Here is a 26,812-nt window from a genome sequence, read left to right on the forward strand (position 1 = left end):
ATGAATGAACGACTGAACCAATGAGCCTTTGTGGACGCGGCCCGCCGTCTCCCGGCCTCTGCGGGCGAGGAAATGGGGGCGCCGGGCCCGGGAGGCCGCAGCCGGCCACCCAGGCCAACCCGGCGGGGACGCGGCCGCCGCCGCAGCCAGAGGGCCGAGCCTGCGACGCCATCACGGAGCCCGGGGCGGGCCCCCAAGGCCGAGCCCGAGCTTCCCACCCCGGGAGCCACCCACCGACGACGCCAGGGCCCGGGCCTCACCCCGAGACCACCGCGCGCGGAGCCACCCCCGCCGCCGCCTCAGGCTCCTCACCCGCCGCCGCCGCCGCGCGAGGCGGGGACATGCAAATGAACCAACGGTCTCCGCAGCGCCGCGCCGCGCAGGCGCAAGCCGCCGCCGAGTCCTGGTGCGCAGGCGCGGGCCGCCGCGGCCCGGCTCTCTTGCGCAAGCGCGCTGTCCGCTTCTTCTGGGCGGACGCTCTGGAGGCAAAACATTTCCCTGCTGGGGGCGGCGACCACCGTGAGCGTCCCGGAAGGGGCGGCAAAGACGCCTCCGTCGCGCACGAGGTGGCCTCGTTGGCTTTACCTTGGTTCGCGGTCGTCCTTGGTTATCGTGAGCGTCCGCGAGTCTCTGGGAGGCCAAGCCTAGGGGCGCCACAGCGCCTGCGCGCGTACGGCGGCCGGAAGGGGCTAGAGGCGGCTCCCTGGGTGACAACCGCGCGCCCCACCTTTCCCCACGTGGCCGCGAAGACCGGGTGAGACGCTGCGGCTGCCGAGGCCTGTCCCGCGCGGAGTGGGGAGTGGGGGTGCCGCAGGGTCGGGCTGGCGCGACCCTCGGGTACGTGGTTTGGGGGGAAAAAAAAAATGAAAGAATTTTACAGAAGCCGCCTGGGGACAAAATCCTCGGCTTCCCTGGCATTCGCTTTATTTTCATTCATTTTATTTATTCATTCAGCACCTGTGCACTGAGTGCCTGCTGCGTGTCGGGCCCCGTCCTAGGCAGTGGGGACAAGGAGGCTACAGGGTACAAATAAATGAGTGAACGATGTTGCTCTAGATACAGGTAATGGTGTGCAAATAATAACAGAGTGATGGGACGGGAAAGCAGGGCTGCTCTTTATCTAGAAGTGGTTTTGAAGGCTGTCTCTTGAGTGCTGGGAAGGATGAGAAAGGCGGGGAAGAGGAACTTGGAAGGCTTAGATAGAGAAGGTGCGGATAAGGAGGCTGGGTTTTGTTCTGAGAGGGTTGGGAAGCCACTACCGGGCTTTGAGCACGTGAGTGAGGTGGAGTCTAGGCTCTGGGAGTGGCAGGTGACGCCGCCCTTAGGGGAGGCTGGTGTTTGAACCAGAGTGGGTGTGGCTGGTAGAGGGACATGTGGATGGAGTCTTTTAGAGTCCCCAGCATGTCATGGCACACGTTTAATTTTCTTTTGAGACGGAGTCTTTCTCTGTCGCCCAGGCTAGAGTGTAGTGGCATGATCTTGACTCACTGCAACCTCCACCTCCCGGGTTCAAGGGCTTCCCCTGCCTCAGCCTCCCGAGTAGCTGGGACTACAGGTGCGCAACACCGCACCTGGCTAAATTTTGTATTTTTTTTTTTTTTGAAACGGAGTCAAAAGGAGTTCAAGCGATCTCCTGCCTCAGCCTCCTGAGTAGCTGGGATTACCGGTGTGCACTATCTTGCCTGGCCTTTTTTTTTTTTTTTGAGACGGAGTCTCGTTCTGTCACCCAGGCTGGAGTGCAGTGGCGCAATCTCAGCTCACTGCAAGCTCCGTCTCCTGGGTTCAGGCCATTCTCCTGCCTCAGCCTCCCGAGTAGCTGGAAATACAGGCACCCGCCACCACGCCCGGCTAGTTTTTTTGTATTTTTTTAGTAGAGACGGGGTTTCACCGTGTTAGCCAGGATGGTCTTGATCTCCTGACCTCATGATCCGCCCGCTTCGGCCTCCCAAAGTGCTGGGATTACAGGCGTGAGCCACCGTGCCCGGCCCTGGCTAATTTTTTGTATTTTCAGTAGAGACAGGATTTTGCTATGTTGGCCAGGCTGTTCTCAAACTCCTGACCTCAAGTGATCTACCCGCCTCAGACTCCCAAAGCGCTGGGATTATAGGCCTGAGCCACCGCACCTGGACAGCACAGTTTTCTTGATGAGCAGATTCCTGGCTGAGAGAAGGAAACTGGCTGCCAGTTAGGGGCCTTACTCATCTTCTGTTTTACCCTCAGCATGCCCTGATGGATAATAGGGACTGGTAATGCTGCTTCCCCCTTTTAGCCTAGGCTGTTCTCCAGGTAATTCTTACTTGGCCATCTCCAGGCACCATCTTATGTGTTCCAAATCTGTACTTTCCTCCTCCAACTCAGCCCTGTACCAGATCTAGGGGACCTTGGAGGACTCAGGTCAGGGGTGGTCACAGAGCCAGACCTTCCCAACTCAGTCAGCTCAGGGGTGGGTGGAAGGGAGGGGTTGTGGGTTGGGGAGTGAAGCCAGAGAGTGTGGGCTCTCTGAGTGGCCAGGAAAGGCAGCCACCTGGAAGGGCTGGCAGAAGCTCCACAGAGGACTGAGAATCCGAAGTATTTGAGACAGGTGTCAATCAGTTAGAAAGCTTATTTTGCCAAGGTTAAGGACATGTCTGTGACACAGCCTCAGGAGGTCCTGACAACATGTACCCAAGGTGGTTGGGGCACAGCTTGCTTTTATACATTTTAGGGAGACGTGAGATATAAATGAATATGTGTAAGATGGTCACAGGTAGAGACAAATGATTGCTTTCTTTTGAGTCTTTGGTCAGCCTTTCACAGAATACACGATTTATATGGGGTACAGGGCAGGTAGAGGAATAGTCATTTATGCCTCAGTCCGACTCATGAATCTGAGGTTTTGTTTCTTGTTTTTTGTTTTATTTTTTGAGATAGAGTCTCGCTCTGTCGCCCAGGCTGGAGTGCAATGGCGCAATCTTGGCTCACTGCAACCTCCACCTCCCGGGTTCAAGCAATTCTCTTGCCTCAGCCTCCTGAGTAGCTAGGATTACAGGCGCCCACTACCACGCCCAGTTAATTTTTATATTTTTAGTAGAGACGGGGTTTCGCCATGTTGGTCAGGCTGGTCTCGAATTCCTGACCTCAGGTGATCCACCGGTGTCAGCCTCCCAAAATGCTGGGATTACAGGCATGAGCCACGGAGCCAGGCCAAATCTGCATTTTTACATAAACGTTAGGGCAGAGAGAGCAACTGGATATGCATTTGTCTCAGGTGATGACTTTCTGTCCTGCACTTGTGAAGATCACCTGTCAATTTACATTGCCAGGGTGACATTCAACAAAATTGTTTTCAGGTAAAGATCTTGAGGGCCACAAGGAATTTCCTGGCCTGGCCGGGGTGGTGGGAGTGGAGTCCCCTACTCCTTACTCCCTACTGAGAAACTCTTTATATTACTCTTCCTTCACCTTTAACCTTGGAAATCCATAGCAGCCCTTAAAGAGCTCCCTTTTCTTCTGGGGCAGAAAGGAGAGGGGCCTATCTGCAAAAGAGTGAGATGGGACTCCTGCATAAACTTGCTGAATTGCCTCTTAAGCAACAAAGGAAAGGAACAAATAGCTAATTTATTGAGCCTGTCCATATCCTGTTCTGAGGAAGGTATAGGAGTTGGCTGAATTTTTCACTACTGCCCTATGAAGTAGATTCGTGTTTATCTCTGTTTGACACATGAGGGAATTGAAGAAAAGTGTATCTGGCTGGGCGTGGTGGCTCATGCCTGTAATCCCAGCATGATGGGAGGCCGAGGCAGGTGGGTCACCTGAGGTCAGGAGTTCGAGACTAGCCTGGCCAACATGGTGAAACCCTGTCTCTACTAAAAATACGAAAATTAGCTGGGCGTGGTGGCGTGGGCCTGTAGTCTCAGCTACTTGGAGGCTGAGGCACAAGAATCGCTTGAACCCAGGAGGCAGAGGTTGTGGTGAGCCAAGATCGTGCCACTGCATTCCAACCTGGGCGACAGAGCGAGACTCTGTCTCAAAAAAAAAAGAAAAGGGCATTGAAGTGGAGGGCATGGGAACTGGGTTCTGCAGGCTGGCTGCGAGCCAGTCCTTCTCCCGTCAGGCAGTGTGCAGTCCATGGTGGGCATCTGCAGGAACACAGATGGAATGTGTATATCCCATGCCACTGCCTGAAAAGAGAAGCATGGGCCAGAGTGACCTGTTTCTTTTTCCTTTTTTTTTTTTTTTGAGACAAGGTCTTACTTTGTCACCCAGGCTGGAGTTCAGGGATATGATCTCAGCTCACTGCAGCCTTGACCTCCCTGGGCTCCCACCTCAGCCTCCCAAATAGCTGTAACTACAGGTGCATGCTCCCACACCTGGCTAATTTTGGTATTTTTTATAGAGATGGAGTTTCGCCACGTGTCCAGGCTGGTCTCAAACTCCTGGCCTCATGTGATCCTTCCGCCTCGGCCTCCCAAAGTGCAGGCCACCATGCCTGGCCTGAAGTGGAAACTTGATAATTCCAGAACGGAAACTTGATATTACTGCAATAAGCAAGGTGGATATATTGAAACAATTAAAATTTAAAAAGTTGTTAACCTCTGTTAGGCTCTGGACCTAAGGCCTGTTCCTCCTTTTGTTCCAAAGGGACGGTGGCAAATGTTAGGTTCACTCGTACCCTGTCAAGACCTTCTGGTTAAGATCATCTACAGCAGGGGTCCCCAATTCCTGGGTCACAGACCCATACTGGTCCAGTGGTCCCTGGCCTGTTAGGACCTGGGCTGCACAGCAGGAGGCAAGCGTAGGGTGAGCGAGTGAAGCTTCATCTGTATTTACAGCAACTCCCCATCACTTGCATTATGCCTGAGCTCTACCTCCTGTCAGATCAGCAGCATTAAATTATAGGAGCACGAACCCTACTGTGAACTGCACATGCAAGCGATTTAGGTTGGGCACTCCTTATGAAAATCTAATGCCTGATGATCTGTCACTATCTCCCATCACCCCCAGATGGGACTGTCTAGTTGCCAGACAACAAGCTCAGGGCTCCCACTGATCCTACATTACAGTGAATAGTATAATTATTATATTACAATGTAACAATAATAGAAATAAAGTGCACAATAAATGTAATGAGCTTGAACAATCCTGAAACCATCCCCACCCTAGCCCCACCATATCCATGGAAAAATTGTCTTCCACGAAACTGGTCCCTTAGGCTAAAAAGGTTGGGACTGCTGAGCTACAGGTTTGAAACAGAATTGCAAAGGGATTTGGTGTTTTTACCAAGAGTTTTATCTTACTTAACTCTATGTCTTGTTCCCACCTGTCAGAGTGGAAGGTACTGCCCAAGGTTAGTGGGTCATCTAAGTGTTGATACCTACCCCTGGTTTCCAGGGTATGCCTATACTGGGTTTTACTTGTTTGTTTATTTATTTATTTTTTGAGACGAAGTCTTGCTCTTGTTGCCCAGGCTGGAGTGCGATGGCGTGATCTTGTCTCACTGCAACCTCCACCTCCCTGGTTCAAGCCATTCTCCTGCCTCAGCCTCCCGAGTAGCTGGGATTACAGGCGCCCCACTAATTTTTGTATATTTAGTAGAGACGGGGTTTCGCCATGTTGGTCTTGAACTCCTGACCTCAGGTGATCTGCCTGCCTTGGCCTCCCAAAGTGCTGGTATTACAGGCATGAGCCACCATGCCTGGCCTTACTTGCTTATTTTTATTTTATAAGGTGGGTTTGTGTGTATACACACACACACACACACACACACACACATTTTTTTTAAGAGATATGGTCTCACTGTGTTGCCGCAGGCTGGTCTCAAACTCCTGTGCTTGAGTGATCCCCCCGCCTTAGCCTCCCAAGTTGCTGAGATTACAGGCACAAGTCATTGCTCAGTTCTTTTTGTTTTTAAACAGATTAGCACTTTAAGAAATTGAGCTATAATTTACATACCATAATATTCACTCATTTGATTTAGTAATTTTTTTTTTTCTTCTGGAGACATGGTCTCCCTCTGTCATCCAGACCGGAGTGCAGTGGCCCAGTCACAGCTCACTGCAGCCTTGAACTCCTGGGCTCAAATGATCCTCCTGCTTCAGCCTCCCGAGTAACTTCAACCACACGCAAATGCCACCACACCTGACTATATTTTTAAATTTTTTTGTAGAGACGGGGCCTTACTATGTTGTCCTTGCTGGTCTCAAACTCCAGACTTGAAACAGTCCTCCCACCTTGGCCTCCTAAAGCACTGGGATCACAGGTGTGAGCCACCATGCCTGGCCTGATGTAGTGATTTTACGTTTTCACAGAGTTGTACAACCATCATCACTATAATTCAAGAACGTTTTCATCACCCAGAAGGAAACCCTATACCCATTAGAAGTTACTCCCCATTCCCTCTCCTCCAGTCCCTGGCAACACCCAGTCTGCTTTTTGTGTCTGTGGATTTGCCTGTTCTGGATATTTCATGTCATTGGAATCGTGCAATATGAGGCTTTTCGTGTCTGGCTTCTTTGACGAGACATCATGTTTTTGAGGTCTATCTCCATTGTAGCATGCTTCAGCACCTCATTCCTTTCTCTGGCTGAGTAATATACCACCATGCGCACAGACCATTTTATCCATTCATCTGTTGGTAGACTCCGTCTCCTTTTCTTTGTTCTTGTGATTTATTTGTTGAAAACTCTGGGTGTTTGTCCTCTAGTTGACATTCTCTTCCCTAGTAGGGATTTTGCAGATCACATCCCCATGGTGTTGGTTAAGGTGTCAGAGCTGTGCTGTGCAATACCATAGTCACTCGTCACACATGGCTATTTACATTAACAAATTAAAATGAAATAAAATTACACACTCAGTTCCTCAGCCACACTGCCACACTTCAGCTGTGTGATAGCCACAGAGGCCAATGGCTTCTGTACTAGGCAGTGCAGATAGAGAACGTTTCATCATAGCAGGAAGTGCCCTGAATGCATGATCAGATTCGGGTTTGAGATTTTGGCACGATGACTTCACAGGTGCATTTTGTTCTTGTTCAGGAGGTAGGTGTTGCTGGTTTCTCTTGATGATGTGAGATCAAGCAGTAGACTGAGTTCCTGTCTACCCCTTGTTGGGCTCCCATCAGTTTTACACCTGATGGTTTTGGATCCTGTGGGATCATTATCTGTTTCTCTCCTGTCACAGCTGATCAGCTGGAATCGGAAGCAGAACTTTTCCTCATCCTCTTTTTATAACCTGGGACTCATTTGTACAAGGGAGGCAGGTTAAGTGCTAGGTTTTTTTTAAAAAAATTGTTACTAATTATTGTAGAGACAGTGTCTCGCTACGTTGGCCAGGCTGGTCTTGAACTCCTGGATTCAAGTGATCCTCCCATCTCAGCCTCCTGAGTAGTAGCTGGGAGTACAAGAGCATGCCACCACTCCCTGCCAAGAGCTGGATTCTTGGCCAGTTTTCAGAAGCCTGAGCTGTATTTGTTTTAGTATTATGAAAGCACAGAGTTTGACTTTTTTTTTTTTTTGCAACATCGTCTGACTGTCAGCCAGGCTGGAGTGCAATGGCATGATCTCGGCTCACTGCAACCTCCGCCTCTGTGCTCAAGTGGTTCTCCTACCTCGGTCTCCCTGATTGCTGGGATTACAGACGTGAGCCACCACACCTGGCCCAGATTTTGATTTTGATATGTACTGGATTTTTTTTTAATGCTCACTTGTCTCATCTGTAGCTACCAGGCATCCCTTAGGGTTTGGAAGCTTCCTTGCTTCCTGGTCTCACAAGACCCCAGCGTTACCTGCCCCATGACCTGCTGGGACTTGGAATCAGCCATTCCTCCAGAAGCCCTGGCTCCTTGTTTTTAAAGATTTTATGTAGAGACAGGGCCTCCCCATGTTGTCCAGGCTAGTGTTGAACTCCTGGCCTCAAGCCATCTTCCTGCCTCAGCCTCCCAAAGTGCTGGGATTACAGGAGTGAGCCACCTAGCCCTGGCCCCAGCTCCTTTTCGTGGGAAATGGTAGAAACCATACATGGTGTTAGAGGTATTCAGTGCTCCTGTGCTGTCATTTCTCCTAGGCATTTTTAGTTGCTATGACTAGAAAATTAGATCTTTGTTTACCTAAGAGAAAACACATGATGGGTTTATATGGATATTCCCATTTCATATATAGGAGTTCTGAGATTTTTTTTCTCAACTTTATCGAGGTATAGGATGTACTTTTTTTTGAGACGGAATCTTGCTCTGTTGCCCAGGCTGGTGTGCAGTGGTGCAATCTCGGCTCACTGCAACCTCTGCCTCCTGGGTTCAAATGATTCTCCTGCCTCAGCCTCCCGAGTGGCTGGGATCACAGGTGCCCGCCACCATGCCCGGTTAATTTTTGTATTTTTAGCAGAGATGGGATTTCACCATGCTGGCCAGGCTGGTCTTAAACTCCTGACCTCAGGTCATCCACCTGCCTCGGCCTCCCAAAGTGTTGGGATTACAGGCATGCGCCACTGCACCCAGCGAATTGTATTTAATATAGTGTATATCTTATACTATATATGGTACATAAATGATACAAATATATTGCATATGTTTACATTATACAACTTGACGATTTTATATGCATGCAGATTGTGAAATACTCACCTCAATCAACAGTTACCTTTTTCTTTTTTGTGGTGAGAACACTTAGAATCTACCCTCTTAGCAAATTTCAAGTATACCATACAATATTGTTAATTATAGGGAGTTCCGAGTTTTTAGTTGATAGTACGATGTTAGAATCTTTTTTTTTTCTTTTTGAGTCAGGGGCTTGCTCTGTTGCCCAGGTTGGAGTGCAGTGGCGCAATCTTGGCCTCCCAGGCTCAAGCGATCCTGCTACCTCAGCCTCCTGAGTAGTTGGGACTACAGGCATGTGCCACCACACTCAGCTAATTTTTATTTTTATTTTGGTAGAGACAGACTTTTGCCATGTTGTCCAGGCTGGTCTTGAACTCCTGGGCTCAAGCAATCCTCCTGCCTCAGCTTCCCAAAGTGTTGGGATTATAGGCATTGACCCACTGCGCCCAGCCAGAATCTTTTTTCTTTTATTCTGATTCCTAATAAGATAATCATTATTATTTGCTACATCCGTAATAGTTTCAGAATAACATTACTAGTATCATTATATTAAAGAACCACCTTTCTTAGATAAAATGTAGTAAACTCTGTGTTCTCTCCTACACTTTGTTTTTTTTTCCCAAGACAGGGTCTCACTCTGTGGCCCAGGCTGGAGTGTAGTAGTGTGATCATGGCTCACTGCAGCCTTGACCTCCCAGGCTCAAGTGATCCTCCCACCTCGGCCTCTCAGAGTGCCGGGATTACAGGCTAAGCCATCACACCCGGCCTCTTCTGTATTTGCAGAAGTTCTAGGGAAGTAGGGATATCACCCTTTCCTGTGATAACAGGTGGGAAGAATTTCTCCAGGGTGGTTGTAGGGCTCTGGTCGCTGGTAGATGCTTCCTAAGTGGCGTTTTCAAGGTGGCCAGGCCCTGCCATTGCCTGCTCACCCTTGAGGTAGCTCTCTCTTTGCCCTAACCTCTCAGCTCAGGAGCATCTATCGGCTGCACGCCAACATCAACACAGGCGAAGATGGTCTCCAAGCGCATTGCCCAGGAGACCTTTGATGCAGCTGTGCGCGAGAACATCGAGGAGTTTGCGATGGGGCCAGAGGAGGCAGTGAAAGAGGCCGTGGAGCAGTTTGAATCGCAAGGTAGGGTGGTGTGACTGTCACCTACCATCCTTGGCTCTTAGATGCAAGAGCAGTGGGAGAGCCCTGCTGCCCCGCCCCACTGGGGGTGCCACATGCCTGGCATAGAAACCAGGTGCCATTGGGCCCTGTCCCCTCCAGCTTCTGCCCGAGGCAGGCTGGTTATCCTGCTCCCACCTCTCACCTGCTTCCACCTCGCCCAGATATTTGTGGGCTGGATCCTTCTCATGAGTCTCATTTGATCACTTCCTTGAAGAGACTTTCCCTGACCCTGGCCTGGGAAACAGGGCCCCTGCCTCCCTGCCCTACTCTACCCTACCTCGAGCTTACAGAGGCAGAAGCAGCCTGTGGAAACAGGTGGCATGTTCAGACCAGGTGCAGATGAGTGTGGTTATGAGGGGCTGTTTGCAATGGTGTGGGTGGGGTTAGGAGACCACCCCTAGCACAACTAGCTCCGGCAGAGACCCTGACTGCAGGGAGCAGGAGTCCTGGGCAGGGGCCACATGATGGGTGCTGGGCCCTGGGGCAGAGGCAGGGGGCTGGGAATGAACACCCCACACTCCCCTCCTCCTGCCCCCATCTCAAGTTCACTTCCCCATTGAACAAACCCAGGGTACAGCCTGAGAGGTCAGAGGTCAGCCTCCTAGGCACAGAGTGGGGTATAGAACACTAGACAGGGGCCAGTGGGACAAGCAAAAGCGTCCAGCACTGTAGGGGCTCCCTGTGGGGGTGCCAGCAGGGGCAAGAATGCAGCCAGAGCCAGGAGGGATGGGAGCCCCAAGGGAGAAGGCTGTGGGGTCCCTCCCTCCCCCACCAAGCCCACCAGGCAGCATGTGGCACCTCACTGCACAGACGTGGCCTGTGATGACAGCCTTGTGTGACAACGGCCTCACTACCACTCTGCTCCCTTTGGCCCACGGACCAGTGGCAGAAACACCCAATACCCTCTACACCCCCGTGATGATGTGGCATGGGCGGGAATAGGGAGGTGGGAGGCTTCTGGAGTGGGGTGGTCCCAGCAGAAGGGTCCTGAGGTGTGATTCCAGCAGGCCCACGGGGATGACAGCTGTCACTTTCTTTCTGACCCCTGTGTGCTTGCTTCCCCCACCCCCAACAGGGGTTGATCTGAGCAACATTGTAAAGACGGCACCTAAAGTCTCTGCAGACGGATCCCAGGAGCCCACACATGACATCCTGCAGGTAGGAGTGGGCATCCCACACAGCAGGTCCTGCGTCACCTCTGTCTGGGGGCACCTCTTCCCTGTTTCCTGGATGGCAGAATACAGGCTCTGAAGGTCATGCCCTCCCCAGCATGCATGGGCAAGCTTGAGTTTGCAGCCAGGTCTCCCTGAGTCCATGTCCGAGGGCGGCATGCCTTCCAATGCAGGGGATCCCAGGCTCCTGTGGTGGCATGTATGCTGAAATCAGGTAGATGGCTTGGTTGTCCCTGCTGCTGGGATCCCAGAGTCAGGGACACCATAGAGGTGCCCCTCTGGCTTCCCAGAGACAGATGGTCAGGACTCATAGGACGAGAGAGTGGGCTCACAGTAAGGCTGTCACTTACTGAGCACTGACTGTTTACCAGCACTTTCCAGCCAGTCCGTTAGCACTGAAGCTCACCAGTGAAGTAGGTGGTGTCATTCCTGTCTTAGTGATGGGGAAACAGGCCAGGAGCTGGCACTTAACCTCTCCAGAGACCGAAAGAAGGAAGGTAAAAGAACTTCAATGCTTTCCGTAAGGTCGCCCATCAAACTTTGTAATACAGCAGAAGGCTCCGGTGTTTGAGAACCGACTGTGGGCCTGGTTCTGTGCAGGTACTTTTTTCCTGTCTTCTTGGTCACTGTCCAAACAACACCTGCAAGGCTGGGATTTCCCCATTGTAGAGATGGGGACATTGAGATCCAAAGAGAAGAGAAGTCATTGACATGGGAGCAGGAGGTGCAGTGATAGGAGAGGAAGTTGGAAGAGACGGCTCTGGGTGTAAACCCGGCTTGCCTAAGGCATGACACTTACTTCTCCCTACCTCGGGGTCCTGCCCTCTCCTGCCTTGAGGAGGTCTTGTGAAAATTGCCTCGTTGTTGTTAGTTTGCTTTTTGCCTTTCTTGCCTAATAAGGATGAATTTATTTTATTATATATATATTTATTTATCTATTGAGACAGAGTCTCACTCTGTTGCCCAGGCTGGTGTGCACTGGCGTGATCTCAGCTCACTGCAACTTCCACCTCCCAGATTCAAGTGATTCTCCTGCCTCAGCCTCCCGAGTAACTGGGATTACAGACACACGCCACCACACCTGACTAATTTTTTTGTGTTTGTAGTAGAGACGAAGTTTCACTATGTTGGCCAGGCTGGTCTCGAACTCCTGACCTCAGGTTATCTGCCCGCGTTGGCCTCCCAAAGTGCCGGGATTACAGGCATGGGCCACAGTGCCCAGCCTGGATGAATTTATTTTAAAATGAGTTTGTCTTCTGGCTATCTTTGCATTGGGTGATTCATCTTTTTCCTACTGATTTGTAGATGAAGTTTATATAGGAAGGATCTCAATAACAATATCGTCTATATTGTCTAGCAGTTACTGCTTAAGTACTTCTTAAGTGCTCAGCATTATGCTAAATTCTTTTTTTTTTTGAGACAAGAGTCTCACTCTGTTGCCCAGGCTGGAGTACACTGGCGCAGTCTTGGCTCACTGCAACCTCTGCCTCTTGGGTTCAAGCAATTCTCCTGCCTCAGCCTCACAAGTAGCTGGGATTACAGGTGCACACCACCATGCCCAGCTAATTTTTTTTTTTTTTTGAGACAGAGTCTCGCTCTGTCACCCAGGCTGGAGTGCAGTGGCGTGATCTTGGCTCACTGCAAGCTCTGCCTCCTGGGCTCACGCCATTCTCCTGCCTCAGCCTCCCGAGTAGCTGGGACTACAGGCGCCCGCCACCATGCCTGGCTAATTTTTTGTATTTTTAGTAGAGACGAGGTTTCACCATGTTAGCCAGGATGGTCTCCATCTCCTGACCTCGTGATCCGTCTGCCTCGGACTCTCAAAGTGCTGGGATTACAGGCGTGAGCCACTATGCCCGGCCTATTATGCTAAATTCTTAAAATATGTTCTCTTAATCTGTGCTCAGCCCATCTTGCTGGTGAGGTATCTGAGGCTTCCCAAGGATCAGTGACCACGCCCCTGCACCCCGAAAGGTCAGCTGGTGAGAGGCAGAGCTGGTACCCGGATCCAGGAAGCAAAGCACTGAAAGGCCGTTCTACCAGCAGTACAGGAAACTCCGTGTTTGTTTATAACATTCGCTCCTTTTTTTTTCTTAACTGTTCTTTTATTTATTCATTTATTTATTGAGACAGAGTCTCGCTCTGTCGCCCAGGCTGGAGTGCAGTGGCGTGATCTTGGCTCACTGCAAGCTCCACCTCCCAGGTTCATGCCATTCTCCTGCCTCAGCCTCTGGAGTAGCTGAGACTACAGGCGCCTGCCATGACGCCCGGCTAATTTTTTGTATTTTTTAGTAGAGATGGGGTTTCACTGTGTTAGCCAGGATGATCTCGATCTCCTGACCTTGTGATCCGCCTGCCTCGGCCTCCCAAAGTGCTGGGATTACAGGTGTGAGCCACCACGCCCAGCCTATTTATTTATTTTTTGAGATGGAGTCTCACTCTGTTGGCCAGGCTGGAGTGTAGTGGCCCTTCCTCAGCTCACTGCAGCTTCCTTCTCCCAGGTTCATGCAATTTTCCTGCCTCAGCCTCCCGAGTAGCTGGGATTACAGGCGTGCACCACCACGCCCAGCGGATTTTTGTATTTTTAGTAGAGATGGGATTTCACCACATTGGACAGGCTGGTCTTGAACTCCTGACCTCAAGTGATCTGCCTGCCTCGGCCTCCCAAAGTGTTGGGGTTATAGGCATGAGCCACTATGCCCAGCCTATTTTTTGTTTTGTAGAGATGGGATCTTGCTATATTGCCCAGGATGATCTTGAACACCTGCCCTCAAGTGACCCTCCCACTTTGCCCTGCCAACATGCCAGGATTACAGGTGTGAGCCAACATGCTCACCTGTTTTTTTTTTTTTTTCTTTTTCTATTTCTTTTTTTTTTTTTTTTGACACAAACTCTCACTCTGTCACCCATGCTAGAGTGCAATGGCAGGATCTCGGCTCATTGCAACCTCCACCTCCCAGGTTCAAGTGATGCTCCTGTCTCAGCCTCCTGAGTAGCTGGGATTACAGGTACCTGCCACCATGCCTGGCTAATTTTAAATTTTATTTTTCATTAAGGAAGAGTGGAAATACATTCTTAGCATAAAGGATTCAAGCAATACTCAAGCATTTATAGTAAAATCTGAAAGTCCCTGCCTTGTCCCTCCCACCAGACACTGGGGTTTGCATCTCAGCGGTCAGTTCGCAACTGAACCAACCCCCTTCTCAAATGCCCTGCAGCATAATTGACCTTTGTGCATCTTGGCTTAGATGTGTAAAAAATGCTTATCTGTTGAGGGAGAAAAAAATTCAACATTGTGATGGTCGTTGAAATTAATCTGTTTGTGTCATAAGATTTGTTGCAAACAGGCTTGTAGAAACAGAAGGAAAATAATGTCTGGAGACTGTCCAGGGAAAAACTGAGCCAGCCAGGCCACATTTATATGTGGGAAGTTGTAGAATGAAAGGCATTAGTCACAGAGACTGAATGACTCCAGGAGTCAATGGGTAAAGCCCCCCTCCATGAGCAAGGTGGTGAGCGCCACAGAAAATTGTCATAGGTAGAACACAGCTGGCTCTGCCACCTGCATTTTAGCAACCATCTGTCAATGAAAATACTCTATAAAATATTTCAAGAGATTTATTCGGAACCAAATATGAGTGACCAAAGGCCCATGACACAGCCTCGGGAGCTCCTGAGAACATGTGTCCAAGGTGGTCGGGCTACAGCTTGGTTTTATACGTTTTAGGGAGACATGAGATATCAATCAATACATGTGAGACGTACATTGGTGTGGTCTGGAAAAGTAGGGCAGCTGAAAGCCGGGGCTTCCAGGTCATAGACACATTTAAAGATTTTTCTGGCCAGGTGCTGTGGCTCACGTCTGTAATTTCAGCATTTTGGGAGGCTGAGGTGGTCGGATTGCATCGAGCTGAGGAGTTTGGGACCAGCCTGGCCAACATGGCAAAACCCATCTCTACAAAAAATACAAAAATTAGGCCACGTGTGGTGGCTCACACCTGTAATCCCAGCACTTTGGGAGCCCAGGCAGGTGGATCACCTGAGGTCAGGTGTTCGAGACCAGCCTGGCCAACATGATGAAACCCCGTCTCTACTAAAAATACAAAAATTAACCGGGCATGGTGGCAGGTGCCTGTAACTCCAGCTACTCAGGAGGCTGAGGTAGGAGAATTGCTTGAACCCGGGAGGCAGAGGTTGCAGTGAGCCAAGATTGCACCATTGCACTCCAGCCTTGGTAACAAGAGCGAAATTGCATCTCAAAAAAACAAAAAACAAAAAACAAAAATTAGCTGGGCATGGTAGTGGGTGCTTATAATCCCAGCTACTTGGGAGGCTAAGGCGGGAGAATCACTTGAATCCAGGAGGCGGAGGTTGCAGTAAGCCGAGATCATGCCACTGTACTCCAGCCTGGGCAACAGAATGAGACTCAGAAAAAAAAAAAAAAGATTTTCTGATTGAAAGAGTTATCTAAAGACCTAGAATCAATAGAAAGGAATATTTTGCTTAAGACGGGTTGTGGAGATCAAGGGTTTATCAAGGAAGCCTCCAGGTAGCAGGCTTCAGAGAAAATAGATTGTAAATATTTCTTATCAGACTTAAAAAGGTGCCAGACTCTTAGTTAATTCTCTCCTGAATCAGGGAAAAGACCTGGAAAGGGAATCTCTGTAGAATGTAGCTTTTCCCCACAAGAGATAGCTTTGCAGGGCCATTTCAAAATATGTCAGAGAAATATATTTTAGGGTAAAATACTTTGATTTCTTTCCATACTGTATTAGTTAGGCTGGAACTTGGTGTCTTATTGCTACAAAAAAGTCTTACGATGATCAGTTATGTCTGACTTCCAAAGGCAGGAAGATAAAATGAGACATATTTGACCGCCACTTCCCATCATGACCTGAAGTAGTTTTTCAGGTTACCTTTGGAATACCTTTGGCCAAGAGGAGGGGTCCTTAGTATGGATGAGGACTTAGATTTTTTTTTTTTTTTTTTTTTGAGACAGGGTCTCCCCAGCTAGAGTGCAGTGGTGTGATCTTAGCTCACTGAAACCTCTGCTTCCCGGGCTCAAGCAATTCTTCAGCCTCAGCCTCCCATGTAGCTGACTACATGGTGTGAGCCACCAACATCTGGCTAATTTTTGTATTTTTTTTAGAGACAGGGTTTTACCACGTTGCCCAGGCTGGTCTTGAACTCCTGAGCTCAAAGCGATACACCTGCCTTGGCCTCCCAAAGTGAAGAGATTACAGGCATGAGCCACCATGCCCGGCCAAGAATTTTATTTTTAGTTTACACATCCTTGCTAACTTAGTAATTCCTTGTGAAATCTTGGTAGTTCTAACTCCAATACTGTGCATCCTCAAAGGCATTTCTGTCAGGAGCTTTTCAAGTTTCTTACAGGGTTTCTGCTGAAGTGCTACACCGCTGTTTGTTATGTAAAATGTGCATAAAAACATTTACCATTGTAACCATTTTTAAATGTAGAGTTCAGTGTCATTAAGTACATTCATAATGTTGTGCAACCATCATGACTATCCATGACTTGCGATACTGAAACAAACTCCATGTTCCTCTTCCCCTCAGCCTCTAGCAACCATCATTCTACCTTCTGTTGCTGCAAATTTGACTACTCCAGGACCTCATATAAATGGAATCACAGGCTGGCCACCCTGGCTTATGCCTGTAATCCCAGCATTTTGGGAGGCTGAGGTGGGCAGATCACTTTGAGGTCAGGAGTTAGAGACCAGCCTGGCCAACATGGTGAAACCCTGTCTCCACTAAAAATACAAAAATTATCCGGGCGTGGTGGCACATGCCTGTAGTCCCAGCTGCTCAGGAGGCTGAAGCGGGAGGATTGTTTGAACCCAGGAGGTGGAGGTTGCAGTGAGCTGAGATGGTACCACTCCACTCCAGCCTGGGTGACAGAGGAAGACTCCATCTAAAAAAAAAAATTTTTTTTAAATAAATGGAATCACAGTATTTGTCTTTTGGTGACTGTCTTATTTCACTTAGCGTAATGTCCTCAAGGTATATCCATAGCATACTATGTGCCTGAATTTCTTTGTTGTCATTGTAGTGTTTTTTTGTTTGTTTGTTTTTCTTTTTGGAGACAGAGTCTCTCTCTGTCGCCCAGGCTGGAGTGCAATGGCACGAGCTCAGCTCCCTGCAACCTCCAACCTCTTGGCTCTGATGAATCATGCTGCTATGAACATGGGTGTACAGGTATCTCTTTGAGACTGTGCTTTCAGTTCTCTTGAGTGTATCCCCAGAAGTGGAACTGATGGGTCACACAGTAATTCTGTTTGATTTTCTTTTTTGAGATGAATGCTCCGTATGTTGCCCAGGCGAGTCTTGAACTCCTGGGATCAAGTGATCCTCCTGCCTTGGCCTCCCAAAATGCTGGGATTACAGGCATGAGCCACCACGCCTGGCTTCTCTGTAGGTTTGAATTGCATTTTTCCTAATGATTAGTGACATTGAGCATCTTTTCATGTATTAGTGGCCATTTGTATGTATTCTTTGTAGTAATGTCTATTCTAGTCATGCACACTGGTGTTAACTTAATTTTTGTTGTTTTTTGTTTTTCAGTTCTAATCTCATTTTAGCAAAAACTTACCTTTTTAAATATCCTGTTGCATTGTAACATATACTTAGGTCCACAAATCTGAGCTCAGTGAGGATTATCCCATAGGCTTCTTTGTTTTTCGTGTCAGTCAATGCCAAATCAAAGCCCTTTGGGCTGGTGGTTTCTGTAGAACCACCCTGATTCAGTCTGAGGGCAAATAATCTCCTACACTTCAGGCTCACAGATTCATCTTTGGCTCATGCTAAGACATGTCCCGAGGTCATGTAGTTGAATGGCAGCTAAACTTATCTGAGTTGTTTAAAGTATTTTCTCCCCAGTGGCTTAGAGTTGAATTTGGATAAATCTGCTCTCTGTACAGTGTAACCACATTTGGCAGGTGCTCAATAAATGTTTGTGGAGTGAATGAGAGAGATGAAAGGAGACATCAGGATGGGTATGTCTGGTGAATGTGGCTTTCTCCTTCCTTGGAGAGCTGACCATTGACAGGTGTGCCAGTTTGTTACAGCTGTGTGACAAACAACCCAAACAACAGGCATCTTATTGTTTCTTGTGATTCTGCCTGGTTGGGCTCAACTGGATGGTTCTTCTGCTGGTATCGCTTGGGGCCTCTTGATGGCAGGTAGGGCTGGAATGTTTAATATGTCTGCATTTATGTGTGCAGCCCTTCGGCAGGGACACTGAGTTGTCTGGATCTCTCTCTCTCTCTCTGTGTGTGTGTGTGTGTGTGTGTGTGTGTGTGTGTGTGTGTCAGTCTTCCACGCTATGGCCTCTGAAGCTCAAAGCTCCTAGAATCACAGGTCTGGAAGTTGCCAGAGCTGTAACTTGCCCCACATCACTTCCACTGCAGGCCCAGATCCCAGGGGAGGGAACCTTGCAGGGGTCCAGACACTGTTGCTGTGGCCATGGGTTCCTCTTGCCTGAGCTGATGCTGAGGTTTCTCCCATGTCTCCCAGATGCTCAGTGACCTCCAGGAGTCTGTGGCCAGCTCTCGCCCCCAGGAGGTGTCAGCATACCTCACCCGCTTCTGCGACCAGTGCAAACAGGACAAGGCCTGCCGCTTCCTCGCGGCCCAGAAGGGGGCCTACCCCATCATCTTCACTGCCTGGAAGCTGGCCACTGCAGGTGACCAGGGCCTTCTGCTCCAGTCCCTCAATGCCCTGTCGGTGCTGACTGATGGACAGCCAGACCTCCTGGATGCCCAGGGCCTGCAGCTCCTAGTGGCCACGCTGACCCAGAATGCTGATGAGGCTGACCTGACCTGCTCTGGGATCCGCTGTGTGCGTCACGCTTGCCTGAAACATGAACAGAATCGGCAAGACCTGGTGAAAGCTGGCGTGCTGCCTCTGCTGACTGGTGCCATCACCCATCATGGCCACCACACTGACGTGGTCAGGGAAGCCTGCTGGGCCCTGCGTGTCATGACCTTCGATGACGACATCCGTGTGCCCTTTGGCCATGCCCACAACCATGCCAAGATGATTGTGCAGGAGAACAAAGGCTTGAAGGTGCTCATCGAAGCCACCAAAGGTAAGAGCTGGGGGCCGACACGAGCCAGCGAACAAAGTGGGCGGGTCAGATGTGACCAGAGTGAGGGTCAGGGCTCAGGACTGCTTTAGGCACGGCAGGCTCAAGGCTCCACTCGCCCCTCGGCTTAGACCTGCCTGCATGGCAGCCCTCGTGAAGAGTCTCCCCATGTTTTCTAGTGGCTCCAGGAGAATTCCAGGCCAGCACTCAGGGGCCAGGAGCAGGCCACAATCCCATCTCTGGAGCTGTCTGGGGAAGGGGCTTGCTGTGTCCAACTCCAGGGGCTGAGAGTGGGGAAGGGGGACCTCCCCAGAGGGAAATAAGAGGACTCGGGGGGGCTGGCTGGCATGCACCATGGCAGTCTCAGCTGGATGTGTACACGCTTGATCATATTCAGCCACAAATCCTTAGGCATATTCATGTGTCTGGCTCCAGGGTGACCATGGTGAGCCAGCCCTGGGAGGTCACAGTGCTGACCGTCAGACCCTAAAGCTTCTGTCTTAACCCCTACCCCCATCCCATCCACTGAACCCACCAGAAAAGTCCTGATTGACACACAGAAGGTGTTAGGAGGATGAGTTCCCCTTTCTTGCCTGCCCCGTCACTCTGGTTCTGTGGCCAGGCCTGTGTGGGGGTTCTGGCTCTGTCTGCTGAGGAGATGGGCCCACCTCAGTCTCCCTTCCACACCTCCAGCAAGGCTGAAAATGAGTCCCGACCTTCTGCAAAGTCAGGCTGCTTTTCCAGGAGGTAGCTCACATCTTTCCTGTTTTATTTATAGGAGCTCCAATCAGTTAGGTTTCTGCCAGAGACAGGATATGTATATATGAAGAGACTTTTTGGTAAGGAATGGGATCATGCAATTATGGCAAGTCTGTACTCCATAGGGCAGGCTGGAAACCCCCAGGCAGTCCCCTTTTCGGGGAAACACCTCAGTTTCCTTCTAAGGACTTCAGCTGATGGAATGAGTCCCATTCACATTGTTCAAGGTCATCTCCTCTACTTAAAGGCAACTGGGCTGGGCATGGTGGCTCATGCCTGTAATGTCAGCACTTTGGGAGGCTGAGGTAGAAGGATTGTTTGGGCCCAGGAGTTCAAGACCAGCCTGGGCAACATGATGAAACCCTGTTTCTACTAAAAATACAAAAATTGCTGGGCGTGGTGGTGGGCACCTGTAATCCCAGTTACTTGAGAGGCTGAGGCACAAGGATCTCTTGAGCCTAGGAAGGAGAAATTGTGGTGAGCCAAGATCACGCCACTGCACTCCAGCCTTGGTGACAAAGCGAGACTCTGTCTCAAAAAAATTAATAATAATAATAATAATAATAGATAGCTGATTGTGGATGGTAACCATGTGGACAGAATACCTCCACGGCAACACCTAGATTGGCATTGGGTGGAACTGCAGAGGGCTACAGGTGGTCACAGGAACTGACCGTCGCAGCCCTGTGTAGGTGCAGGATCTTCGCCCTCTTGGCGTGAGTGCCGGCACCTGCTTCCTGGTGCAGCGCCTCTGGGCTCCATCTGCGGCTCCTGTGTTCAGTTTTGGCCACGTCAGCCCAGTCCGTATGTGTCCCTCTATGGTTCTGGAGTTTCCTGTTGCACTTAGAGAAGCCATTCCTACCCCATGATCATAAAAATAGTCTTCAGATGTCTTTTTTTTTTTTTGCACTATTATAGTTTTCTTTTTTTAGGTGAGACCATGAGTTGGTATGGAATTTATTTGGGGCATGATGGAAGGAAGCGGGTTGGGGGGCACATTCTTAAGTCTTCCCAGCAGCCAGCAGGGGGCACTGCAGGCCCAGGTAGCCCCTGGTGTTCCCTGGGGCCTTCCTGGTGCCCGTGGCCACTCCAATAGGCAGAAGGGCTGGACTCTTCCAGTGGAGCAGGATCTCCACCAAAACAGAGGGCCCTGCGGCTGGTTCTTCCCGCCCCCACCACCGTCTCCCTTTCTCCCTGCAGCGTTCCTGGATAACCCTGGCATCCTGAGCGAGCTCTGTGGAACCCTGTCCCGCCTGGCCATTCGCAACGAGTTCTGCCAGGAGGTCGTCGACCTCGGGGGCCTGAGCATTCTGGTGTCCCTGCTAGCCGACTGCAATGACCACCAGATGAGGGACCAGAGCGGCGTTCAGGTATGAAGTCCCCCTGGCCCATTGCGTGCTGTCCTTCTGGGTCCCAGTCAACCGGACGAGCTATAGTCAGAACAAGCCAGCCCTGCCTGCCAGTGTCGGAACCAAAGTGCAGTTTTTCTTTTCACGGACCCAAGGGCAGGAACCAAAGGTCGGGGGGGAAACAAACCCACCTGCTCTCCCTTATTGTCCTTTTGCACCAGGAAAAGGATGGTAGGAAGCATAGGGTTGGGGTGTGTCGGCCAAGGCTGGGATACTTGGGTTAGTTCCCGCACCTCTGCCTCAGTTTCCCTAGCTACAGAATAGAGCAGTGTCCCTACTCATTACTCCGTTTAGCAGCCGATTATTGAGCCCTTCTCCATGTGCCCATCCACAGCAGGGAGCCAATCAACAGGTGCCTCCCTATCCAGCTGCAGCTGCAGGAAAGCCCCCAGGGGTGCCACGGTCCTGCGCCCCCAAGCCCAGCTGTTGACGTCAGCCAGCCTCTTTCTGTGCAAGTGGCCAGGAGCTGAATGGGAACCAACTTCAGCAAATGAAGGGATACATTTTGCCCTGTACTCCTGGGCAGTTGGGGGCAGGGTCCTCAGGTTCTCCATCGGGGGATCAGCAGTCCCAGTAGCACCTCATCCACTGTCCTCAGTGCAGGGCAGTTAGCGCCTACCCTGGGTCTGTGGCCGTGGACAGGGGGACCCTGTGCTCTGAAGGCCGGCCTGAGTCACATGCCCCCGCTGCCCCTGTCGGGGTAGGGGATCAAGTCACCTGGATGGTACCGTTTGGACACAGGCAGCCTGAGCCACAGGCATCTGCCACCCCTTCTCGTTAGTCACACCCTGCAGTCACACCATACCTGTTGGTCAAACAGCAAAACAGCCCCACATTCTCCCTCAGAGCCCTCTCCCACAACCAGCGGCCTGGCTGGAGGTGAGCGGGCCTTTCCCTTGTGCAGGAGCTCGTGAAGCAAGTGCTGAGCACCCTGCGAGCCATCGCAGGCAACGACGACGTGAAAGATGCTATTGTCCGTGCTGGTGGGACGGAGTCCATCGTGGCTGCTATGACCCAGCATCTGACCAGCCCCCAGGTACCCACCTCGGGGGGCACACACAGTAGCAGGGTGGTGGCTGGAGTCCCAGTTCAGTTTCTGTATCTGCATGAAGCTCTATTCCCCTGCAGGGCCAGGGCAGGGCTGGTGAGGGTCGTGGGCATTGGCTCTCAAATGCTGACCTGCGTATGCATGACTTTGGGTGTCCTGGAGTTACCACCAGCACCCTGCAAAGATCTGACCAGGCCTATTGCCCTTGTCACCCCTAAGAGCTGAGCTGATATTTTTGTCACCCTGCCATTATTACACAGGAGTTGCCAGAGACCCACGGAGGGGAGGCCGCAGGGTGTTCACCAGGGGTTGGTGGCCATGGCAGGATGTTGTGGGGGGTCTATCTGCTGCATCTCAGCCTTTCTGTGACTGGCCCCTGCAGGTGTGTGAGCAGAGCTGCGCGGCCCTGTGCTTCCTGGCCCTGCGTAAGCCCGACAACAGCCGCATCATCGTGGAGGGTGGCGGGGCTGTGGCAGCACTGCAGGCCATGAAGGCACACCCGCAGAAGGCCGGCGTGCAGGTGGGCAGGGCAGGGGATGGGGGCAGGCAGGCTGGTGTGGGATGTGCAGGTAGGTGCAGAGAGGGCATGGGAGCAGGTGCGGTGTGCGGGTGGGTGATGGGGCAAAGGCTCAGTCCCTATCCCTATCCCTGTCCCTGTCCCTCCCACAGCCGAGCCCCATAGGGCCAACTTCTTTCTCATCTTGCAAAATGTGCTGAATTCTGCCTTCATTTGCCTCCTTCTCTGCCTTTGTTTTTTCTGCATTTACTCTCCTTTTTTGGGGAGGGGGTAGTTTGGAGGGGCTTTCTGGTGAAACCCTGGAAAGAAAGCTATAACACGTAATCTCCTTCTGTGGGTTTTTTTTTTTTTTTTTTGAGACAGTCTCACTCTGTCGCCCAGGCTGGAGTGCAGTGGCGCCATCTCAGCTCACTGCAACCTCTGCCTCCTGGGTTCAAGCGATTCTCCTGTCTCAGTCTCCCGAGTAGCTGGGATCACAGGCATGGGCCACCACGCCCAGCTAATTTTTGTATTTTTAGTAGAGACAAGGTTTTGCCATGTTAGCCAGGCTGGTCTCGAACTCCTGACTTCAGGTGATCCACCCACCTCCACCTCCCAAAGTGCTGGGATTACAGGTGTGAGCCACCGCACCCTTAATCTCCTTTTTTAAAAGTCCCTATAGAGAGATCTGGGGAGAAAGAAGTTGGGGAAGCGTGGATGGGGATCTGCCTGGGGTTTCAGAAAGGTTTCTGCCCCCTCCTTGGGCTGCTGGTCTGAGTTCTGAGTGTGGGACACCCTGTCCACACCTCCCTGGCTGAACCCAGACTCCTCCGTGCAGCCCCCGGGGCCCTCCTCGCCTCCTCACTCCCAGCATAGGATTCTTGGACACACCAGGCTGGGACCCACAGGGGGCCTTTGCTCTCGCTGGCTCTTACTCTGGGACACTGACCCTTACCTGGTCTGACCCCTTGTCCACTTCTGGCCACCCTGGCCAGCAGTTCCCCACTCTGCATGCGCTTCCCACCTGCTGTCCTGCTGGTGGTGGGAGCCACCCTGGGAAGCTTCCAGGCAGTGCCCCGCGCCCACCCACAGCAGGTGCACAGGGCACAAATGTCCACTGAATGGGTAGGGATGTAATTGACAGGTGCCTGTGCACAACCACTGTCTTCCCGTGGCCTCACTGCCCCCTTGCCCTAGGGCCCCTTCCTTGGCTCTGTGCCAGCCTCGGGGGACCTCAGGCTCACCAACTCTGAGGCTGAGAGTTCCAAAGCCATAGGATAGATCCTGGAGCTTCCCTGAGCCTGTTTCCTTGCCTGGGAGTTAGCCATGCCTTGTGGGGCTGCCAAGAGGGTAAAGTAGAGAGATGGGTCTAGCTTGATACAGTATAGGCAGCTGCTGGATGTCAGCTGTGGTTATGATCACCTCCATCTTGTTATGATGAAGACCCTGAGGTCAGAGTGGACCCCACCCCAAAGCCCCATCTGGCAGCTCACAGCTGCTCTCTCCTACAGAAACAGGCTTGCATGCTGATCCGAAACCTGGTGGCCCACGGCCAGGCCTTCTCGAAGCCCATCCTGGACCTGGGGGCTGAGGCACTCATCATGCAGGCCCGATCTGCCCACCGTGACTGTGAGGACGTGGCCAAGGCCGCCCTGCGGGACCTGGGTTGTCATGTCGAGCTCCGAGAGCTGTGGACAGGCCAGAGGGGCAACCTGGCGCCATGACCCCAGGCCCAGTCTGGGCCGTGACTCTGGGTGAGTCGTGTGACTCAGGAATGGGGGTAGATCCATGTCCTCCACTGTCCCCCATTAGTTCTGTCCCCTTCACAATGAGAAGTGTTTTCTGGCAGGCCCTAGGTAAAGGGTCGGGGGAGGGGGGAGCCTTGTAGGGAGGCCTCTACACAGAAGAAAGCAGCCCCCATGTCCCAGCCACTTCTGGGTCCCAGCCAGCAGCACGGATGTTACTGTCCTGCTCCTTCCCCCAGCCCCACGCCCTACCAGAGGGGGCAAAGGGCACGTCCCATCACTCACTGCCCTGTCTGAAATGTGGCAGCCACTGTGGGCCAGGCTCAGGGCAGGGCAGGCGATTCCAGTGGGGTTGGGCCCCCTGGCGCCTGCTGCTTACTGCAGTTTCATGCAGGCCTCTGCTCCTTGTCTTTCTTACCTGTAAAATGGGTCTCAGATGCTCCGCCCTGCTTGGCCCCAGCTTGTCTGTCTCTGGGTCCTGGGCCAGCCAGGATACCTGATAATAAAAGATCATTGGGTGAACAGCGGAGGGGTCTCTTCCATAGCTTGGCTGAGCATGGGGGGCCACAGTCAGTGGCCTCAGAGTGTGGGGGAGAGACAGACATTTTGGTGGGGGGGGCCATGGAGTCACTGAGGATAGCAAAGGGGTTTTGGGAACAGCCAGGGATCTAGGATCTGCTGTCACCCTCAGACAGGCAGGCGCTGAGGCCATGGTCAGGATCACTGTTTCTGACGTGTACCACCTGCAGGGCCGGAGGGCTCCACGTTCATCCCCTACTCAGCTCTGCGGCCTTGAGCAAGTGAAAGAACCTCTCCGAGCCTCAATATGCTCCTCCTAAAGTGAGGAGTGGGGCAGTGATAGATCGCCCTCTGAGAGGTGTTGGACCAGGCTGAGCACATGGAGGGTGTCCAGTTGTCTTAGGCTGGGTGTCCTAGGTACCCAACCTCTTGTCTCTGAGCCTCGATTTCCCCATCTATAAGATAGACATCGGCGGGCACGGTGGCTCATGCCTGTAATCCCAGCACTTTGGGAGGCTGAGGTGGGTGGGTCACTTGAGGTCAGGAGTTCGAGACCAGCCTTGCCAATATGGTGAAACCCCGTCTCTACTAAAAAAATACAAAAATCAGCCCAGTGTGGTGACGTATGCCTGTAATACCAGTTACCTGGGAGGCTGAGACAGGAGAAGTGCTTGAACCCGGGCAGCAGAGGTTGCAGGGAGCTGAGATCACGCCACTGCACTCCAGCCTGGGCAACAGAGCAAGACTCTGTCTCAAAAAAAAAAAAAAAAGACATCATTGTTGTTGCCCTCAGTGACCACCCCACCCCAAGCATTCTGGGGGTGCCCAGACAGCTGTGGCCCTGCAGACCCCAGCTCTTCTGCTCTGAAGTCACACTCAGAGGTCACACCGTGGTCACTAGGTGGCTTGTGCATCTCTTGTGGCCTCACGGGGGTCCGGGCAGCCTCATGACCACTGGTGTGTGCCCTAGCCTTCCTGCCCACACCTTGGAGGCCTCTCCCCTCTTGGACCCTCGCCCCTGCTTGTCATGTGCCTCCCCGAGCCCCAGGATGGCCTGGGCTCAGTCCTTGACCTCAGGGACACTCCTTTCCCAGCAGGCCCCCAGCTTCCGTGGAATCCAGCCGATGCAAACAGCTGAGGAGCGTCACCCTGGCTGCACCTCTCCGTGGTGTCCCCGTCTCCCCTGCCCCCAGCAGGAAAGGGTGCTCTCAGCTCAGCAGGGCTGGCCCAAACCTCTGACCCAGTCACCCCGCCCTATCCCTCCTCCCTGGAGACTCCCAGGATGTGGGAGAAAGATCTCGAATCTGCCCCAGACTGCCCTGACTTAACTTCTGGGCCAGTGTGACCTTGGGCAGTTCTCAAGCATTTCTTCATCTGTCATGTGGCGGGGTAGGTGCTCCTGAGCTATTTCGAGGACGGCCTGCAGTGCTGGCCCTGTCATTCCTGCTCCAGCCTTGCTCTCAGTCTGCCCATGGCTCCCCTTTGCCTTCTACATAAAACCAAACCTGTCTGTGGTCCCAGCAACTTGGGCTAAGGCGGGAAGATCACTTGAGCCCAGGAGTCAAGGCTGCAGTGAGTTAGGATGGCACCACTGCACTCCAGCCTGGGTGACGGATCAAGAGCTTGTCTCAAAAACAAACAAACAAACAAAAAAATGCACTTCATGCCCTGCAGACCCAGTATGGCCCAGGCCTTGCCCATTTCCCAGTCTTTCCACTGTACTCACTCCCTATTCCCCCACCCCAGGGCCTTTGCACAAGCCCCCATGTGACAAGCCATGCCCTCTGCCTAGAAGTGCCCTTCCCTTGGCCTTCCCCGTG

General features: G+C 51.7%; 2 protein-coding genes across 48 annotated transcripts in view, besides 3 other annotated features; one reads left to right on the plus strand and one right to left on the minus strand.

The window, feature by feature from the left end:
* Positions 1-430: a silencer, noted in NCBI's record as "silent region_10428". NCBI's record gives its function as "represses an Ori minimal core promoter by ATAC-STARR-seq in GM12878 lymphoblastoid cells {active_cell/tissue: GM12878}" and the evidence as "EXISTENCE:reporter gene assay evidence [ECO:0000049][PMID:35858748]".
* SUGP2 (SURP and G-patch domain containing 2) overlaps positions 1-668 on the minus strand; it is a 42,958-nt gene extending 42,290 nt beyond the window's left edge. For 18 of the 39 annotated variants that reach the window (XR_430124.5, XR_001753576.3, XR_007066515.1 and 15 more), the window contains exon 1: positions 313-395. Coding sequence is in view for 5 of the 39 variants with exons in the window: in NM_001321698.1 (NP_001308627.1) it covers positions 313-343 (31 nt within the window). In the remaining 34 variants the exon portion in view is untranslated. Of the gene's footprint in view, positions 1-260; positions 396-585 lie in introns of those variants that run through there. The other 21 variants (XR_007066523.1, XR_007066526.1, XR_007066525.1 and 18 more) reach the window with 2 other exon arrangements.
* ARMC6 (armadillo repeat containing 6) lies at positions 427-25,000 on the plus strand. 9 transcript variants are annotated; one of them, NM_001439254.1, is made up of 9 exons: positions 427-837; positions 955-1,062; positions 9,535-9,701; positions 10,816-10,898; positions 18,446-19,019; positions 20,976-21,145; positions 22,089-22,220; positions 22,615-22,752; positions 24,217-25,000. In NM_001439254.1, exons 2-9 carry the CDS (start codon positions 1,034-1,036, stop codon positions 24,256-24,258), a joined length of 1,335 nt encoding a protein of 444 aa, NP_001426183.1. In that variant the 5' UTR covers positions 427-837; positions 955-1,033; the 3' UTR covers positions 24,259-25,000. The 9 variants fall into 9 exon arrangements, with proteins under 9 accessions (NP_001426183.1, NP_001426181.1, NP_001186125.1 ...); NM_001439252.1 differs by having other exon boundaries at positions 24,240-25,000; NM_001199196.2 differs by having other exon boundaries at positions 427-754; positions 24,240-25,000.
* Positions 18,580-19,080: an enhancer, noted in NCBI's record as "H3K4me1 hESC enhancer chr19:19162565-19163065 (GRCh37/hg19 assembly coordinates)". NCBI's record gives its function as "activates a minimal SCP1, AML or CMV promoter by ChIP-STARR-seq in primed H9 embryonic stem cells {active_cell/tissue: H9 hESC(primed)}" and the evidence as "EXISTENCE:reporter gene assay evidence [ECO:0000049][PMID:30033119]".
* Positions 20,844-20,903: an enhancer, noted in NCBI's record as "active region_14335". NCBI's record gives its function as "activates an Ori minimal core promoter by ATAC-STARR-seq in GM12878 lymphoblastoid cells {active_cell/tissue: GM12878}" and the evidence as "EXISTENCE:reporter gene assay evidence [ECO:0000049][PMID:35858748]".

Source organism: Homo sapiens, chromosome 19 (genome assembly GCF_000001405.40).
Source record: "Homo sapiens chromosome 19, GRCh38.p14 Primary Assembly".
Taxonomy (NCBI): Eukaryota; Metazoa; Chordata; class Mammalia; order Primates; family Hominidae; genus Homo; species Homo sapiens.

Bases quoted from the DNA above. Each gene is read 5' to 3' on its own strand.
- ARMC6 (NM_001439252.1), top strand. From the start codon at position 1,034: ATGAGTGAACGATGTTGCTCTAGATACAG. The intron at 10,899-18,445 runs GTAGGAGTGGGC...CATGTCTCCCAG, and splicing joins CCACACATGACATCCTGCAG to ATGCTCAGTGACCTCCAGGA. The intron at 19,020-20,975 runs GTAAGAGCTGGG...TTCTCCCTGCAG, and splicing joins GCTCATCGAAGCCACCAAAG to CGTTCCTGGATAACCCTGGC.